Source organism: Homo sapiens, chromosome 4 (genome assembly GCF_000001405.40).
Source record: "Homo sapiens chromosome 4, GRCh38.p14 Primary Assembly".
Lineage (NCBI taxonomy): Eukaryota > Metazoa > Chordata > Mammalia > Primates > Hominidae > Homo > Homo sapiens.
In genome coordinates this window covers 131,379,120-131,400,705 of record NC_000004.12, presented here as the reverse complement: position 1 = coordinate 131,400,705, position 21,586 = coordinate 131,379,120, and the positions used below count along the sequence as shown (strand labels likewise).

The following is a 21,586-nucleotide window of genomic DNA, read 5'->3' as shown; positions in this document are numbered from 1 at the left end:
ACATTACAATTAGAAGAACTAGTGAAGGGAAAACAAACAAATTCAAAAGCTAGCAGAAGACAAGAAATAACTAAGATCAGAGCAGAACTGAAGAAGATAGAGACACAAAAAACCCTTCCAAAAATTCAATGAATCCAGGAGCTTGTTTTTGTGAAAAGATCAACAAGATAGATAGACCGCTAGCCAGAAAAATGAAGAAGAAAAGAGAGAATAATAAAATGGACAAATAAAAAATGATAAAGGGAATATCATCACTGATCCCACAGAAATACAAACTTCCATCTAAGAACATTATAAACACCTCTATGCAAATAAACTAGAAAATCTAGAAGAAATGGATAGATTCCTGGACACATACACCCTCCCAAGAATAAACCAGAAAGAAGTAGAATCCGTGAATAAATCAATAACAATTTCTGAAATTGAGGCAGTAATTAATAGCCTGCCAACCAAAAACAAGCCCAGGACCAGAAGGATTCATAGCTGAATTCTACCAAAGGTACAAAGAGGAGCTGGTACCATTCCATCTGAAACTATTTCAAACAACAGAAAAAGAGGGACTTCTCCCTAACTCATTTTATGAGGCCAGCATCATCCTGATACCAAAATCTGTCAGTGACACAACAAACAAAGAAAATTTCAGGCCAATATGCCTGATGAACATTGATGCAAAAATTCTCAATAAAATACTGGGAAACCAAATCCAGCAGCACATTATAAAGCTTTTCCATCACAATCAAGTCGGCTTCATCCCTGGGATGCAAGGTTGTTTCAACATACACAAATGGATAAACATAATCCATAACATAAACAGAACCAAAGACAAAAACCACATGATTAACTCAATAGATGCAGAAAAAGCCTTCGATAAAATTCAACACCCATTCATGCTAAAAACACTCAATAAACTAGGTATTGATGGAGGGTATCTCAAAATGATAAGAGATATTTATGACAAATCCACAGCCAATATCACACTGGATGGCAAAATCTGAAAGCATTCCCTTTCAAAACTGGCACAAGACAAAGATGGCCTCTCTCACCACTCCTATTGAAAATAATACTGGAAGTTCTGACCAGGGCAATCAAGCAAGAGAAAGAAATAAAGGTATTCAAATAGAAAGAGAGGAAGTCAAATTGTCTCTGTTTGCAGATAAGATGATTGTATATTTAGAATATCCCATCGTCTTAGCCCAAAATCTAAAGCTGATAAGCAACTTCAGCAAAATCTCGGGATACAAAATCATTGTGCAAATATCACAAGCATTCCCATACACCAATAATAGACAAACAGAGAGCCAAATCATGAATGAACTCCCATTCACAATTGCTAAAATTGCTACAATACCTAGGAATACAACTTAAAAGGGATGTGAAGGAACTCTTCAAGGACAGCTACAAATCACTCCTCAAGGAAATAAGAGAGGACACAAACAAATGGAAAAACATTCCATGCTCACGGATAGGAAGAATAAGTATCATGAAAATGGCCATACTGCCCAAAGTAACTGATAGATTCAATGCTATTCCCATTAAGCTACCATTGACTTTCTTCACAGAACTAGAAAAAAACTACTTTAAATTTGATGTGGAACCAAAAAGGAGCCCATATAGCCAAGAAAATTCTAAGCCAAAAGAACAAAGCTGGAGGCAGCATGCTACCTGACTTCAAATTATACTACAAGGCTACAGTAACCAAAACAGCATGGTACTGTTACCAAAACAGATATATAGACCAATGGAACAGAACAGAGGCCTCAGAAATAACACCACACATCTACAACCATCTGATCTTTGACAAACCTGACAAAAACAAGCAATGGGGAAAGGATTCCCTATTTAATAAATGGTACTGAGAAAACTGCTTAGCCATATGCAGAAAACTGAAACTGGACCCGTTCCTTACACCTTATACAAAAATTAACTCAAGATGGATGAAAGGCTTAAATATAAGACCTAAAACCATGGATACCTGAGAAGAAAACTGAAACAAATCCATTCAGGATATAGGCATGGGCAAAGACTTCATGGCTAAAATACCAAAAACAATTGCAACAAAAGCCAAAATTGACAAATGGGATCTAATTAAACTAAAGAGCTTCTGCAGAGCAAAAGAAACTATCATCAGAGTGAACAGGCAATCTACAGAATGGGAGAAAATTTTTGCAATATATCTATCTGACAAAGGGCTAATAGACAGAATCTACAAGGAACTTAAATTTACAAGAAAAAAACAAACAACCCCATCAAAAAGTGTGCAAAGGATATGAATAGACAATTTTCAAAAGATGACATTTATGAGGCCAAGAAAGGTATGAGAAAAACTCGTCATTACTGGTCATTAGAGAAATGCAAATCAAAACCACAATGAGATACCATCTCATGCCAGTTAGAATGGCGATCACTAAAAAGTCAGGAAACAACAGATGCTGGAGAGGATGTGGAGAAATAGGAATGCTTTTACACTGTTGGTGGGAGTGTAAATTAGTTCAATCATTGTGGAAGACAGTATGGCTATTCCTCAAGGATCTCGAAGTAGAAATTTGTCCCAGCAGGATTATAAATCAGTCTACTATAAAGACACATGCACACGTATGTTTATTGCAGCACTATTCAAAATAACAAAGACTTGGAACCAACCCAAATGCCCATCAATGACAGATCAGATAAAGAAAATGTGGCACATATACACAGTGGAATACTATACAGCCATAAAAAATAATGAGTTCATGTCCTTTGCAGGGACATGGATGAAGCTGGAAACCATCATTCTTAGCAAACTAACACAGGAACAGAAGATCAAACACCGCATGTTCTCATTCATAAGTGGGAGTTCAACAATGAGAACATATGGGCACAGGAAGGGGAACATTGCACACTGGAGCTTATCAGGGGTTGGGGGATGGGGAAGGATAGCATTAGGAGAAATACTTAAGGTAGACTATGGGTTGATGGGTGCAGCAGACCACCATGGCACATGTATATTTATGAAATAAACCTGTACGTTCTGCACATGTATCCCAGAACTTAAAGTAAAATAAAAAAAAAAAACTTAGTGATTACTCAAGATTCTGCAAGACAAATGTATTTTAAATACTAAATATATGAATTTATAATTATTGCATGTATTATAAATTTAAAATAATAGTGAACATTAAAGTATATAAATAAGCATACAAGTCAATACAATCAGTAGTCATTTACATACAAACTTTAAAAAGTCTTAATATTGTGTCATATCAGTTCTTGTTTTTATGAAAAATAAAATGCTACATATGTACTTGAGACCACTGTGATAATCTCCTTGACAACATTCTCCGCACTCCGTTTCAGAGATAACCACTACCATTAAATCAGGATATATCATTCTTTTCCATGTTTTTAGAATATATTCACCCATGAACAGGTTTTTAATTGTTTATAAATGGTATCAACATATATGAATATATATAAAGTGGCATCAACATGTATGAATATTCTGTAATATACTTTTTTGATTTTTTTATAGATTTATACTTGTTGATATATGTAGTTTTAGTTTTTTCTATAAAAACCTCATCTTGTAAATAAGCTTTAATTGCTCTCTTCATGAAATTTTAGATTGTTTAAACATTTTCATGTAACACACAATAGTCCAATAAATATTTTTATGGAAGTTCCTTTGTACACAGGAATTTCTATGAGGCATTTACAATATGAACAAAAGTTAGATTTCTATAGCATTTCAAAATAATCTTCAAGTGAGACACTGCAAAGCCTGAAAAGTGTTTGACAAATTTGCTCTTCACTAGAATAGCATAGAGTTCTTTTTGCTCCATATCTGGACCAACATGTATAATAATATCACCATCGATGTATATGACATCTGATAGGTATGATATGCTACCTTCTTTTAATATGAATTTATTAAAAAGTTGAAAATATTTTTATATAGTTTACTGGCCATTTGAGTTTATTCTTCTTAAAGTCAACAATCAAACATTATGATCACTATTTTCTATTGGTTCTTTTATTTATTTCAAATACTCTTTGTATATTTTAAATATCTATCCTTTTAAATATTTATACATTTAAGACACCTTCTTCCAGATTTTAACTTGTGTATGTTATAGATAATTATTTTCTCTACAGATATTTATATCTCTATATCTACAGATATATATATATCTATCTACAGATATATAAATATAAATTTTTTTAACTCTTTTCAAAGGAAAATATATTTAATAAAATATATCGGTAGTTTTCTTTATGATTTATACTTTGTTGTGTTTGTTGTGTGTGCTTTAAGATCTTTCCTCACAAGTTCAAAATTAAGCAACATTGCTTTCTGCTGCTCTAAACCTGTTCCACTCAACAAAAACATACTCTATGTGTGTTCCTGAGGACTGAAATTTTTGCAATTTCAGTTGAGAAGTATTTGCAATTTCTAGATCAAGAAATGTGGAGAGTCAACTCTGAATGACACTGACTTCAACAGATACACTGAATAATAGATATAAGCAAGAAAAAAGAAAATAGAATTAAGATTCAAATACAAGATAGTCATATTTGTTAACCAGAAATGTAATAGTAAAACAAAACACTGAGCATAGCTAAATAAAACTGAAGACCTATAGAAATTCAGGCAATAAAACTGTGTAGTGGAGTTTAAGAAATTGGTTCCTATGAAAGATGGGAGGTTTAGCTTTAAGCCTGTTGATGAGAAAAGCCAAACTCTGTACAATATTTGAAGAGGTTTATTCTGCAAGTGTAAATAAGAGGGCGGCCCATGAAACAGCCTCAGGAGGTCCTGGGAACATGTGCCCAAGGTGGTTGGGTTACAGCTTGGTTTTATACATTTCAGGGAGTCAGAAGTTACAGGCAAATACATAAAGCAATAACATTGGTTCAGCCTGGAAAGATGAGACACACTGAAGGATGGAGAGTAGGGTCTTGCAGGTCATAGGTGGATTCAAAGATTTTCTGATTGGCAATTGGTTGAAAGACTTAAACTTTGCTTGAAGAGCTGAAGGCAGCATAAAGAAATGCTACAGTTAAGATAAATAGGGTTGTGAAAGCCAAGGTTCTTGTTACATAGATGAAGCCTCTAAGTAGTAGGCTTCAGAGATAGTAGATGGTAAATGTCTCTTATCAGACCTTGAGGGACTCAGGGGGTTAAGAATTTCATTTTTGGTTTAGAAGCCCCAATTTGAAGCCAGGGCTGGGACTACCTCTACTCTTGAGAATGGCTATAGATAACTAAATGGTGTTATAACAGAGAAAGAATTATTAAATTCCAATACAGTATACAACTGCTCTTTCAAGACCAAAGAACATAAATAAAGTTTTAAAGGTAATCCACTTGAAAATATGCAATAATTTTGTATTTTTAAATAATGATATAATTAACAACCAACTGATGAATTTCTATGTAAATGCAGTTTTATTGTCCTGCTCAGGTAACACCTGATTAGTGGGTATGAGTGAGTCCTTGACGCCTTGGTATATTCATTTCTAATTATCAGCCTAAAGTTTTTCTGGTGTGTAACTCCTCAGAGGACACTTTGTGAAAAATATACCCTGCTCTTAGATTTGACAACCATAATCAGGAGTACTAACCTCCTCAATTATGCAACATACAGAGACTGAATTATTTCCCCTTTCTAATTCTAATTGCTACCATGCTTAATGATAGCAATTGCATAATGATTACTCTTATTTCTGAATAATTCTCAATTTTCTATTTAGTTTTAAAATTAAATATGGTTTATCATGCATACAAAAATTATTACATTATAAGGTGAACATTGCTATGTTTCAGATACTTAATCATAACCCTTCCTCCAGAGTTACCTTTAGAAAGATAATGTTTGGAAGCCTGTGTTAAAGGGTGGGGAGAGCTTTAAGGAAAATAGGAAAAGAAAGCATAAATCATGTTAGCCTATTCCAAAAAGGATTCAGAAAATCTTTTAACTCTTTTCAAAAGAAAACTAATAAAAAGTTAAAATACAAATTCAGTGTGCTTTAAAGATTGGAATTAAGTTGACTTTTGTATTGATACAAAAGACCTACAAAATGTCAAAGATCTTCTATATTATATGTTTTTATATATGACTACAAATGGAACATAAAAACATTTAAACCTGCTAAGTACAAGTAATTTATTTATTATGGTTTTATGTCTTGAAGGCTTTCTCTAGTCCTTCTGAATAAACTCTGAAGGAGATAAATTTGATCTATAGCAGGTTATTGGAGTGAACAGAAATATCATTTACAAATTTCAGCATTCAAACGTTAAAAACACATGATTTCATAACAATAAATTGCTCATATTGGCTTGTCTGTGAAAACTGGAAAACCTATTATAAGAGTGTATCATTTAAGAATAGTAATAATTCCATGTTCTTTGGAATGTATAAGTGTCATTATTTACTATTGTTTTGAACTGTTTTTAATATTTCAGTTACCTATTCACCCCACTCCAGATAAAGTGAAAATCTGAAAAACAAAAGAAACCCAAATGCTGTCATAAATCATAAAATCAGAACTCAGAGAAAATATGACAGAATAAACAGTAGTCATTTTTCTTTTATTAGTTAATATCTAATGGCAATGATACTATTTCTGAAATTATGCCTTTCTCAAAGAAATTTATTTTGATCAAAAAACCATCATTCTCAGCAAACTATCGCAAGGACAAAAAACCAAACACCGCATGTTCGCACTCATAGGTGGGAATTGAACAATGGGAACACTTGGACACAGGAAGGGGAACATCACACACTGGGGCCTGTTGTGGGGTGGGGGGAGAGGGGAGGGATAGCATTAGGAGATATACCTAATGCAAATGACAAGTTAATGGGTGCAGCACACCAACATGGCACATGTATACATATGTAACAAACTTCCACGTTGTGCACATGTACCCTAGGACTTAAAGTACAATAATAAAAAAAAAAGAACTACCATATGATCCAGCAATCCCACTAGTGAGTGTATATCCAAAGGAATTTAAATCAGTATATAGCAGAGATATCTGCACTCCTATGCTTATTGCAGCAATAAGCTTTGGAATCAACCTAAATGTCCATAAATGGATGATTGGATAAAGAAAATGTGGTATATATACATGATGGAATAGTGTTCATCAATAAAAAATAATGAAATCATGTTTTTTGCCACAATATGGATGCAACTGGCAGCCATTATCTTAAGTAGAACCCAGAAATAGAAAGTCAAATATCACATGTTCTCAGTTCTAAGTGGGAGCCAAATAATGGGTACACATGAACATAGAGTGTGTAATGATAGACATTTGAGACTCAAGAAAGGTGGGATGGTGGGAGGGGGTGGGGTATGAGAAAATAATGAGTAAAACATACATCATATCATTATTATCTTTATAGTATATCCATTTAGATGGATATACTAAAAGCCCAGTCTTCATCACTATTTAATATATCGATGTAACAAAACTGTCCTTGTGTCCCTTAAATTTATACAAATAAAAATAAATTTAAAAAATAGTTTAAATATAGTCTTGAAATTTTTACAATTGTTTCTTTCACATGATTGTTGAACATTTGTGTACATCATATGATGTCTCCCTCTCCTTCCCCCAATGATGTTCATGTCCTAATTATGAGAACCTAGGCACATGCTCAAATTTCTGTCATTATAAATTAGTTTGTTTTTTACCACTTTACAGAAGTGGAATCTTTCAATATGTACTCTTTTACATGGTGCATTTCACTCAATATGATAATTTAAAGAGTTATCTTAAAAATGTGGGTACAGGTACTAACAGTACTTTTCATTTACATTGCTGAGATGAATTTCATTGTATGGAGATGCCACAATTTGTTCATACATTCATGTGTGTGGACATTTGGTTTGTTTTCATATTTTGATTATCACAAGAAATCAGTTATAAACAGTCATATACAAGTCCTTGCATGGATACATGCTTTTGTCTTGTACACATACCTAGGAATGAAATAGCTAGGCTATAAGCTAGATGCATATAATTTTTAAACAATCTGCCAAAGTGATTTCTAAAGTGGCTGCCATGTTACATTGCTACAAGGAGTGTATGAGCTCAAGTTTCATAGTAGCCTTGCCAACACTTGCAACACTGTTAAATATATTTTTAACTTTGAGCTATTGTAGCAGTTGTATAGTTGTATCTCATTGTGGTTTTAATTACATTAATTAAAATGATGTGGAAAATGTTTAAAATGATGTTGAAAATGTTTCTGTGGTCATATTTACACACACAAATATATATAATCTTGTGACATAGCTGCAAATTTTTCGCATTTAGCTATAGATTTTTAAATTTTTTTATGGTTTCTATTGAGTTTTGAAAGTTCTTTATGAATTATTAATGCAAAACCTTTGTTACTTACATTACTTGTAAATCTTTTCTCCTCCAGGCTGTAGCTTTTTTTTTTAAATGGAATCTCGCTCTGTTGCCAGGATGGAGTGCAGTGGTGTGATCTTGGCTCACTGCAGCCTCCGCCTCCCACGTTCAAGCAATTCTCTCCTGTCTCAGCCTCCCAAGTAGCTGGGACTACAGATGCACACCACCATGCCCAGCTAATGTTTGTATTTTTAGTAGGGATGGGGTTTCACCATGTTGGCAAGGATGGTCTCGATTTCCTGACCTCAAGTGATCCACCTGCCTCAGCCTCCCAAAGTGCTGAGATTACAGGCGTGAGCCACCACACCCGGCCCGTAGCTTGCTTTTTTAATTCTATTACTTGTATATTTAAAAAGAAGAAGATTCTCATGTTAATGAAGTAGAACTTATCAAAATTTTTCTTTTATGTATATTTTTGGTGGTTTCATTTCATCTTAAATGAAATAAAACAATGTTTACTTAAGCAAATGTCTTTAAGATTTTTTCTTGAGTTTCCTCTTAGATGTTGTATAAATTTTCAATTTATATTTAGTTTTATGAGCCATTTGTCCTAAATAGATGGACCTAGATCCTCCTAAGGTAGTCAGGAGTTGTCAAGAATGTATGTGAAGAAACTACCAGAAGTTAGGCAACAAATCACCAATAAGAATTAGTGAAAACAGCACCAAGGGATTACACAGTCCCAATAAGAATTAGTGAAAACAGTACCAAGAGATTACACAGGCCAGGAGACTGACAGCTTTCTCCAGGTAATACACAAAACCTGATGATTCAAAGGGATTGGTGATAATAGTCAAAGAGTTTTGCCTCAGTAGTACGTGATAATTACCCGTAGACAAAATGCTGCTGTTGTCTCATCTTACAAATCTTCAAAGTAAGTCCTTAAAAAATGAAATTATTTCCCAATAACTTATCTGTATGATAGAACAAAGCTAAAAGACATTAATACAAATATAAATGTATACAGCATCCTGAAAGGCAAAAATCACAATATATAGCATTCAATTGAAATTAGCAGACATGCAAAGAAGCATTAAAATAAATACACGCTGTTCAAAATAAAACATAGACCTGATTATCAGCGTCTAGGGTTGTTGTCTCCCATAAACAATGGGCAGAGCATCATGTGTTAGGAATGGCTATTCAGGCCACATCAATGGTCCAGGCCCATTTGTCATGACCAACTCTTAAACATACTAATATAGCATATTTCATTTGACTCTTGGTTTTTGTCACACCATGGCCTGAGTATTTGATCAGGCCACTGGCAAGCCTTAGACTAGGATATAAAATAAAGTTCCCTGTGGAAACAAGACATTTGTGCAAAAATCAGATCTGCTACTTATAAACTCATTGTTACTTATGTGGATGATCACTACAAAGAACCCTATGCTAGGCCAGGCGTGGTGGCTCATGCCTGTAATCCCACCACTTTGGGAGGCCAAGGAGGGCGGATCACGAGGTCAGGAGATTGAGACCATCCTGGCTAACATGGTGAAACCCCGTCTCTACTGAAAATACAAAAAAAAAAAAAAAACACTTAGCCGGGCGTGGTGGAGGGCGCCTGTAGTCTCAGCTACTCGGGAGACTGAGGCAGGAGAATGGCATGAACCTGGGAGGCGGAGCTTGCAGTGAGCCGAGATCACGGCACTGCCCTCCAGCCTGGGCGACAGAACGAGACTTTGTCTCAAAAAAAAAAAAAAAAAAAAAAGAACCCTATGCTAGGCCAGGCGCGGTGGCTCAAGCCTGTAATCCCACCACTTTGGGAGGCTGAGTCAGGTGAATCACGAGGTGAAGAGTTTAAGAACCGCCTGGCCAAGATGGTGAAATCGCATCTCTACTAAAAATACAAAAATAAACCAGGCGCGGTGGCAGATGCCTGTACTCCCAACTACTCAGGAGGCTGAGGCAGGAGAATAGCTTGAACTCAGGAGGCAGAAGTTGCAGTGAGCAGAGATAGTACCACTGCACTATAGCCTGGGAGACAGAGCAAGACTGTCAAAAACAAACAAACAAACAAACAAACAAAACCTATGCTGATAAATGGTAGCAAACCCAACCTCATCAGCTGAACATGAGACTGAATTATTCTCCCAGAACAAGCACATGTAGAATTGATAGCCTTCTGGATCTGTAAGAGAACAGCCCATGGAAATTCAGACACCATCCTACCTTGAACCTAGAGACACAAACTGCTACTCTATCAGAAGACAATCTGTTTAGTCTATTTGCACTACTAAGAAAGAATGCCAGAGATTGGGCAATTTATAAAGAAAAATTGTGGGGTGTTTTGTTTGTTTTCTGTTTCTTAGAAACCAAAATGTTTTAATGGCTCACGGTTCTGCAGGGCATTCAGGAAGCATGGTGCCAACATCTGTTTCTGGTGAGGGCCACAGAAAGCTTACAATCATGGCAGAAGGTGAAGGGGAAGCAGGTGTGTCACATGGTGTGAGAGACAGCAAGAGGAGTGTAGATGCCAGGCTTTTTTTACAAAATCAGATCTCATGTGAACTCATTATGGTGGGGAGTGTACCAAGGCATTCAGGAGAAATCCTCTTTCATGACCCAAACACCTCCTACCAGGCCTCACCTCCAACATTGGAAATCATATATTAACATGTAGTTTGGAAGGGACAAGTATCCAAACCATATCAACACCACCAAAACAAAACTGCCCTACCTGCCACATCCTGGTCAAAGGGATATATCTCTTGAGCCAGTGAGGAAGGGACTTCTTGGCAAATAGATCACACCAGGCTTCCCATCCCATCTACAGGGTTCCACTGAATCAACACTTTTTTTGGATTCCGATGTTTTCCATTAACTCAAGCCACACTATCCAGTCCTGGCAAGTCCACATTTGTTTTCTGTTTATGTTCCCTCAGCACAATGCATCTGTTAATAGCCCCATATTTGCAGCCAAAGCTGCATATCACTGAGCTCATGGATCCTATGATAGAATCTCCATGTTCCACAACAATCCCAACATGCAGGGGTGGTTAACCTTTCAATTCATAATTAAATGATAGACTTAATTGATGACTGGGAGGAAACAAGAAAACCAGCCTAGACTGTACATCATGGGGAAGCAATGTAGGGTCTCATTGCAGCAATTCCCTAAAAAAGGCACTTCTCATTTGCTACTTATATTTGACCATGCTGCCACCCCCTTTTCAATGTTATACCTTTCTTTTATAATTATTGATATGTAATTCTCCATGCGTGACCCTATCATGGCCTTTCATTCTCTTCTACCCTTTTATGAAGGCTCAAATTGATAGCAGACCAGAATGGCTTTAAACAGGAAGGACTGAAAGAGGTTATGCAAACCCATTTTAAATTTTTCAGAATTTTGTCCCAATCAATTCTTAAACATATTGTGTCTTTCTGGATATATTGTATAAAAACTACTTATGTTAAACTGCTTTTATTTTACATCTTGCTTGTAACTCTTTTGAATAAAAAGTCTGGTGAGAATAGCAGAAAATTAAGAAAGTAAGAAATTTTGATTATTGAATGAAGCAACAAAGTGGCAGTGGGCAAACAAACAAACAAAGCCCCAGCTGACACCTGGGGAGATGTGTGTGGTGGGGTGAAGGTAGGGTCAGGCCAAGACATTAATGATCTTTATTTTCCAGATCAGCTTCTGACAGTTTTCTGTTCATTCTGGGGAAAGACACACATAAACACACACACACACACACACACACACACACACCACCATCACCACCTCCCTGCACTACCTTTCTAAACTGCTGTGAACACATCAAGTTCAAAGTGACTGCTGCGACTAGGATCACACCTGATAATGCTGATTATGAGACAGCAGGGGGTGACCTCAGCTCTTGGATTTTCCACGGAGAACACCTCCAGATGTCATTCACACTCCTGAGGTTGATAAACTAATGTCATGAACAAATAAAACTGTTCACAACTGACTGTCTCAGTTAGTCCTTTTGAAAGCAAGGACTAAATTAAATTCTTCTGAGTGGACAAAAAACCCCATGGTGAAAGAACATCATGGGGGTGCTGTTAACCTGACTGACTAAATAATGTATATCCTGATCAGGATGCCCTAACAGTGTAAACTATTTATTTACAGTGGCACCATGTATGCCCGCTGGGATTGTACTTTATGTTTATACCCTGACCATCATGACACAGCGTCAATCCTAGAAAGCATTTAGGGCAGCTTTAACTTACTGGCCAGAGCTGTGCTATGACTGATTAATGTCTCAGGCCAGATTTTAAAAATAATCATATAAAAACATAAGAAGATTGGTGTATTGGTCCATTTTCATGCTGCTGATAAAGACATACCTGAGACTGGGCAATTTACAAAAGAAAGAAGTTTAATTGGACTTACAGTTCCACATGGACTTACAGTTCCACATGAACTTACAGTTCCACATGGCTGAGAATGAAAGGCCGTGATAGGGTCACGCATGGAGAATTACATATCAATAATTATATTAAAAAAAGGTACAACATTGAAAAGGGGGTGGCAGCATGGTCAAATATAAGTAGCAAATGAGAAGTGCCTTTTTTAGGGAATTGCTGCAAGCCCTGTTTTACATGGATGGCAGCAGGCAAAAAGAGAATAGGATGATGCAAAAGCAGAAACCCTTGATAAAACCATCAGACCTTGTGAGATTCACTACGATGACAACAGTATGGGGGAACTGCCTCCATGATTCAATTATCTTCCACCAGGTCCCTCCCATAACACGAGAGTTATAGGAATATAATTCAAGATGAGATTTGGGTGGGGACACAGAACCGAAGCATATCAATTGGTCTCTTGGATCTCTAGAATAGATTCTATTGGGCTTTGGGACATCTTTTTCTGACTTAATAATGACTGGAACTTATGGCTATATTCACTCTTCCATGGCATGTCTGATTACCCTACTTAAAGTTTAGTCATCATTCTGGTCATTAACTGTTGTCTGAGAAAAATTAACTAGTGTAATTATAGTCCCTTAAATTGAACTGTTTTGATTCCTATGAGGTAGCCTATGCTTCAGGCTCAGGCTCTGAAGAATCAAGTGGCAGAGTTGAAGAGTCTGGTTCTGGGGCAGAATCCTATGTGTGATACTTTAGGCCTGACCTTTGCAATTAGGCAATTTCAAAGACTTTACTGGTAGGCCTCATAGGGAAAGTTGCCCTCCTCATCAGACTTGGTGCACAGCCAGTGCATTTTACTTTTCTGGAGAGAGTTACAGTCAAGCACTAAGGCATCCACCAGTACAGCCATGCTCATATGTATTTCTGCATTCTTAGCCTAGGAGATTCCTGTTGGAGGTCTCCTTGTTGTGAATCTTTGGCTGAAGGCTTTTCAAGAACCTCAAAGAAGGTCTTGTTGAGGGGTGATTGTAGACTTGACTAAGATACTTTTTTCCTCCAATCTTAGTCAGTACTTTTCCACTCCTAGCCCTTCTTCCTCTCCCTCACCTGTCCTATTCCTGGATTCATAATGCAGAAGGAGCCTTGTATGTAGGGCTTTTCAGCAGGGAGATGATTCTATTCCCCGCTCCTGGGCTTCATGTCATCTGACAGAACCTTGTCCAGTGTCATTCTATTGGGAAAAATGAAGCATTAGGGAAACAATCAACAGCATGGTACTGTTAAAAAAATATATAAAAAAAAAACAGGCACATAGACCAATGGAACATAATAGAGAGCCCAGAAATAAGGCCATACATCTACTACCATCTGATCTTTGACAAAGCTGACAAAAACAACAATGGGGAAAAGACTCCATATTCAATAAATGGTGCTGGGATAATTGGCTAGCCATATGCAGAAAATTGAAGCTAGACTCCTTCCTTACACCATAAGTAAAAATTAACTCGAGATGGATTAAAGACTTAAATATAAATCACAAAACTATAAAAACCCCAGAAGACAGCATAGGCAATCCCATCCAGGACCTAGGAACAGGCAAAGATTTGGCAAAGATAAAAAAAGCAATCAACAAAAGCAAATTTGACAAATGGGATCTAATTAAACTTGAGAGTTTTTGCACAGCAAAAGAAACTATCAACAGAGTAAGCAGAAAACCTACAGGATGGGAGAAAATTTTTGCAAACTATGCATCTGACAAAGGTCTAATACCCAGCATCTGTAAGGAACATAAACAAATTTACAAGAGAAAAACAACCCCATTAAAAAGTGGACAAAACACATGAACAGACACTTCCTAAAAGAAGACATGTATGTGGCAAAAAAACATGAAAAAAAGCTCAGCATCACTGATCATTAGAGAAATGCAAATCAAAACCACAATGAGATATATCATCTCACACCGGTCAGCATGGCAATTATTAAAAAGCCAAGAAACAACAGATGCTGGCAAGGTTGCAGAGAAAAGGGAACCCTTACATACTGTTGGTGGGAGTGTAAATTAATTCAACCATTGTGGAAAGCAGTATGGCAAATCCTCAAAGAGATAAAAGCAGAATTACCATTTAACTCAGCAATCCCATTACTGGGTATATAACGAGAAGAATATAAAACATTTTACCATAAAGACACACGCACACGCATGTTAATTGCAGCAATATTCACAATAGCAAAGACATGGAATCGACTTAACTGCCCACACTGGATAAAGAAAATGTGGTACATACACACCATGGAATATTATGCAGCCATAAAAAAGAATAAGATCTTGTCTTTTGTAGAAACATGGATGAAGCTGGAGATTATTATCCTTAGCAAACTCACACAGAAACAGAAATCCAAATATTGAATGTTCTCATTTATAAATGAGACCTAAATAATAGGAACTTATGAATACAAAGAAAGATTCAACAGACACTGGGGTCTACTTGACACTAGCGGGTGACGGGAGAGAAGCTGAAAAGATAACTATTGGGTACTGAGCTTAATACCTGTGTGATGTAATAATAAGCACAACAAACTCCCATGACACATGTTTATATATGCAACACACCTTCACATGTACCCCCAAATGTAAAATAAAAATTAAAAAGAAAAAAAAGAAACAATCCTTTTTTTCTCTTTGTCTCTTTCTTTCCTGTACTATTGTAGTAAGTGAATAAAGTTTTGTTACTTTCCATTTGGCTCATTGCCCTAATTGACCAATTAACACCTTATGCCCTGACAAATGGCTGATTATAAAATTCACATGGAATGGAAAGGACATTCATTAGCCAAAGTAACTTTGAGAAAGAAGAAAGCTTTAGACAGACTTGTTATAAAGCTGCAGTGACTGAGAGCTTGTGGTGCTGGCCATAAGATAGATCAAGTAGGATGAATACAGAGTTCAGAAATAGATCCACATTTGTGTTCACATATCATTTTTTGCAAATGTACAAAGGCAACTCAGTAATGTGTGGATAATCTTTTCAGCAAATGATACTGGGACGATTGTATCTTCTTTTGAAGAAGAAAAGGACAAAGTAAAAGAAGAAGATGAGGATGACGAAAAGATGAAGGAGGATGAGAAGGAGGAGAAAGAGGAGAAAAGAGGGGGAGAACTATTTTTCAGTTTTTTTCTCTGTGCACCTCTCTTCTCTTTGATACTTTGCCCTGCATATTCTACCCACTTGGCTTTCTCTGAGTTCTCAGAGTTATCACGTGAACTCAGGGCAGCTAATAAGCTCCACTTTGTTTTCCCTTCCATGTGCTATAGCTTTGAAGTGACCTGGGATTAAGGTAGAGTGTGATTTGTTCCCAGTGTTTCAAGGATTGCTGTTTTCCATTGATCGATGCCTAATATGCTGAAATATATTACTTCATATATATATACATATATATTTCTATATCCTCATATTTTATTAATTTCAGGTATAAGGATAAGTAGGATGTTGTTACTCCAAAATCAAAATCCTACAAGATCAATTGAGTAATCTTTCTAATTTATGCTTCATATCCAGAGCATAATAGAGCTCTCTGCTGTCATGTGCCTTTTTGTATTGGGCAGTTTCATCAAGGAGATAGAAATTGTATCAGCAAATGGAATAAGAAGCATCTAATATGAAGAATTATTAACTAGCTATACCTAATTAACTACTAAAACTGCATAGACAAAGCTAAAGAATACAGACATAACAAGTGTAAGGAATAATCTATAACCTCTAGGATCAAGGACAAATGCTAAAGAGACAAACTTAAAAAAATGAGATTCAAACTTTATTAAACAAGGTATGGTGTGGCCTACTAGATATCAAAGATGTTTACTGAGATGTCATAGATTGAAACAGAGAAGTAGAAAACTTCCCACTCAGGTACAAGGAAAACTCTAGGAAACCACTGAGTAAGTTGACAATGAGCCTCCCTAGAAAGGCACCTGCTGGGTGATGGAAAATCTCTCAGAGAATCTGCCTGCTGCGCACTGATGAAACACACTGGGAATCCTCTTCCAAGGCCACTGCTAAAACTTTCTTCAATTTGGGTGCCCTTAAGTCTCCTACAGAAAACTTCCATGGAATCTGGAGCCTGACTTGAATACTCTGCTGCTGCCAACTTTGCCATGGGAGCATAAAATAAATGATCACAACCACAAAGAGAAGTTCCTTCCTCGTTCAGTGTTCTTCTGGTGCTCTCCATTTCCAAGACCTAACGTTGCACCAGTTGGCAAAGAAGAAATATTTACAAGGTCCTTCTCTTGTATTAAAGTCAGGACATAGAAGGGTTGATCTCGATCTGGGAAACAACAAATTGATTGTTGCAACAGTTTCTTACATCCCACAATATAAAATCATTTTCCTTTTTTAATACTCTTCTTGGTACCGGTGTGATTGTTTCCAAATGTCCATCTCTTTCAACATAGTCTTAGAAGAATGAAAGGCAAAGTCTTTTTGTATGTGTTTAAGATTTGTATAGTAATCTCATAAATTAGATAGTACTAGGCACAAAGAATCCAGTAAATATATAAATATACATATACACACATATAAATATATGTGTATATTTTTATATTTAACAAAGGAAGAATAGTATTCTAGATAAAACAATGGACATGTTGACAGAAACACATGCAAGATAATGAAGGAAAACATGGCTCTTGTTTAAAACTACAAGTAGTTACATTGTTATTTGGGGAGAGGGAGTAACAGGAATTGGATTGGTATTGGTTGGAGAGAAAAGCTAAATCTAATGTTGTTTACAGGTAAAAGGATATGTAAGATCTACCCATTCCTTCAAATATCTTATGACCTCATTGGTGTAACAGTAGATATTCACAGACATGGATTTAATAGCAAACAAAAATGAAATGAGCTGAATGACTCCGTCAGCAAAAATAATTAATGTGCTGACTAAAACGTATTTTAAAACACAAATACAAGCTTCCTTGAAAATGATGAATATGCTGAGCTTTAAAATAAAATGAGAAACTCAGAGGTTATGAATAACGCCTTCAATGAACCTTATCCTAAGGGTCGCTGTAAAATGCTGGACACTTGGAGTTTTCCTATCAAGGAACTCATGAAATATAGAGAAAGTAATAAGGCCAGGATGGCTTTGCATTAAGGAATCCAAAACAATATAGCAGCACACAGATGGTTCCACAAAGAGCTGGACTGCATCATAACTTGGAACAAGAAATAAACATCACTCTGCAAGGAAACTGAGTAGAAAAAAAGAGTTGTCTCTAAGAACTGGTTATCATAATCTTTCCCAAATGCAAACTTTCAATCCAATTTCTTGGTGTCTGAGTATTATCAAAAATCTTAAGTGAGAAACACAGTTAAAAATTTATCCAATTTGATAGCAACCACAAAAAACTTGCAGACATTAAGCAAAACTTATACGGAAAAACTCAGGTTAAATGATGTAAGCAGATAGAAAACAGAAATTGTGAAACACATAGGGAAATAAGTCACCATGATTGAGAAGCAGCAGAAACAAGAAATGGCAAAAGCATAACATAGATATTTCAGGTATCAGACTTGTAAAATGAATATTAAAAAAAAACTTCCAAAATAGAAAAGTATGATTTATAAATTACAAAAACAAATAACAATGAAGATCTGATTAAGGAATTAAGCATATTTTAATAAAAAATAAGCAAACTAGAAATTAGAACTGAAAAATTCACGCATAATGTTTATGGAAAAAAAAACCTAGATGAAATATTTAAAACATGACATAGGAGACACAGGTAAAAAAAGATGAGGCGCGCGCACACACACACACACACACACACACACACATATATATAATAAAATTATTAGAAATTATTAGAAAATGAGAGGCATTGTTTGAGGAGACAACTGATGATAATTCTCTGATAATTCTCTACAACTGTTGGAAAACAATAATTATCAGGTTCAGGAAAAGAAATGAGTTAAGAAGTTTAAATATAGTCTTAAATAGTAAACACGTAGAAAATAAAAAAAGTATGAAAATACCTACAAAAAAACATAATGTGAATGAAAGACATCTTTTACACAAAGTGTAAAAGCCTACTACACAGATACATACGCAAGACCCATTTAAAAGAGAACATTTTCTGAAGTAGTTTCTGGGTGAAGAGGGAAAAGATTTCAAATAGAAAAGCTGTGCTTTAACAAAGAGTAATGACATTGGTAAATCTAAATAAACAATAACTGCCTAACATAATAATATATCTAATAGGACAAAGTTTAAACTAAAGTACTAGACTAGGAAAACTTGTAATGTTTAGTAGGTTATCTAAATTATTCTGATATCTGGCCAAGAGGAGTGTAAGACGTTGGTTAATTAATATTGAAATTGTTAATGTTTCAAGTAAGAGAAGGAATTAAAATCGGAAAAATATTTTAAAAGATAAGGGGAATGCAAATGTAAAGATGTTTAAAATATACAAGTTGTAAAATAAGATATCAGAAATAAATTAAAAACGGGAAATTAGTAAAAATGAAAAAGTACTAACTACACAAACTAAAAGAAAGTCTTGTGACATTACATTTTATTAATAAATGAATCCATCTAAATTGAATCCATCTATTTATTTATTAATCCAATGGATTTATTAATAATCCAATGGATGTATTAATCCAATCCATTTATTTATTAATAAATGAATCCATCTAAATTTACTTTTACACTTAAAATGTGAAACCTCAGCAAAATTCAAAGTCTTATGGAACAATATGAGAACAATATAAAATATGTAGCAGACAAATAATAACCATAATAATTCTGGAGTTGTCATGTCAATACGCATTATTTTAAAGCAAAATTTATGCTTGAATTAAATAGGTTTACTACATAGTATGCACTTATAACTATCCAGATTCTATGTTTGGATGCACCAAATACAGGGTCCGAAAAATGTATACATTCAAAACCCACAGTTTTGGATAGAGAACTGTACTAACATTGGGAGATTTTAATATTCTTCAATAATGGAAAGATAAAAAATACATAGCCATTGGCTATTACAAAAACATGACATTCATGAAGGTAATTCATGTTAGTCACTAAATATCTATACTTCTCTCTCCTGCTTCCTTGAAGTTAAACACGTTGGTGTTATTTACTGCAAGTCCATGAAAAGAGCAGAGTCCCTGCTGAAGAAAAGCCTTCATGGCCCAATGCATGACTCACTACTTTCTATTTTTCCCATCTCATTGTTTCCCATAGTGAAATCTTCCAAAGTTGGATCCCTGAGTGAGGATGACACGAAATGGATGCTACTATTCCCTAAATTACTTCATGTCCTTGTTGTAGACATCAGGTTGGGGATGTTTGTTAGCAAAATCTAACTTGCCCAAGTAATCCTCAAAGTATGATCTGTACTGAGTGGACCACGCCCAATGCTTTCTCCAAACCTTTATAAATCTGCAACAAGTTCTGGAGCTTCGGCTACAATGTAAACGAACTCTCTCTCTCACTAAGCACACTTTTATCTGTTACAATTTTTTTCTTTTGGTTAATTTTAAGACATTCTCCATGAAAGAGGCAGTGGTTTAATTTACAGTCTGGCACAAGCTTTTTTTACGTACCGGAATTGGTGGGTTCTTGGTCTGGCTGACTTCAAGAATGAAGCGGTTGACCCTCACGGTGAGTGTTACAGTTCTTAAAGATGGTGTGTCCAGAGTTTGTTCCTTCAGATGTTCAGATGTGTCGGGAGTTTCTTCCTTCTGTTGGGTTTGTGGTCTCGCTGACTTCAGGAGTGAAGCTGCAGACATCCGTGGTAAGTGTTACAGCTCTTAAAGGCAGTGCGTCTGGAGTTGTTCATTCCTTCCGGTGGGTTCGTGGTCTCCCTGGCCTCAGGGGTGAAGCTGCAGACCTTTGCGGTGAGTGTTACAGTTCATAAAAGTTCATAGAAGTGGCGCGTCCAGAGTTGTTCATTCCTCCTGTCCGGAGTTGTTTGTCCCGCCCTGTGGGTTTGTGGTCTTGCTGGCTTCAGGAGTGAAACTGCAGACACTGGCTGTGAGTGTTACAGCTCATAACAGCGGGGCAGACCCAAAGAGTGAGCAGCAGCAAGATTTATTGAGAAGAGTGAAAGAACAACGCTTCCACAGCATTGAAAGGGACCCAAGTGGGTTGCCACTGCTGGCTTCGGAGGCCTGCTTCCCTTATCTGGCCCCACCCACATCCTGCTGATTGTCCATGTTACGGAGAGCTGACTGGTCCATTTTACAGAGAGCTGATTGGTGCGTTTTGACAGAGTGCTGATTGGTGTGTTTACAAACCTCTAGCTAGACACAGAGTGCTGCGTTTACAATCCTTTAGCTAGACAGAAAAGTTCTGCAAGTCACCACCGGACCCAGCCGGCTTCACCTCTCAATGGCACTCCCTGCTGGACTTCGCGGCACCTAGCCCAGGGCACTCCAGCAGCCCAGAGTGAGCTCCTCCCCTGAGCAGGCGCTGGCTGGCCGCGCAGAGTAGGGGGCCCGCTGAGCCTGCGCCCACCAGGAACCCGCGCCGGCGGGAGCGCCACCGGCGCAGCCTCGGCTCCCGCCCGCGCCTCCTCCTCCACACCTCCCCGCCAGCAGAGATAGCCGGTGGCTGCGGCCTCTGCCAGCCCCAGAGAGAGGCCCCCACAGCGCAGCGGCGGGCTGAAGGGCTCCTCCAGCGCGGCCAGAGCGGACGCCGAGGCCGAGGAGGAGCAGAGAGCGAGCAAGGGCTGCTAGCACGTTGTCACCTCTCAAAAGTATCTAGATGACCTGAATGATAAAAAGCGAGTAAGTTTGATTTAATAAAAATATATGGTACATTGCA

General features: G+C 36.7%; 1 long non-coding RNA gene across 33 annotated transcripts in view; it reads right to left on the bottom strand.

Annotated features, from left to right (window-relative positions):
• LINC02377 (long intergenic non-protein coding RNA 2377) overlaps positions 1-20,949 on the bottom strand; it is a 338,568-nt gene extending 317,619 nt beyond the window's left edge. For all 33 annotated transcript variants that reach the window (NR_183920.1, NR_183918.1, NR_183919.1 and 30 more), the window contains exon 1: positions 20,365-20,949. This is a non-coding gene — a long non-coding RNA (long intergenic non-protein coding RNA 2377). The remainder of the gene's footprint in view (positions 1-20,364) is intronic.
• Between the last annotated feature and the right edge of the window lie 637 nt (positions 20,950-21,586).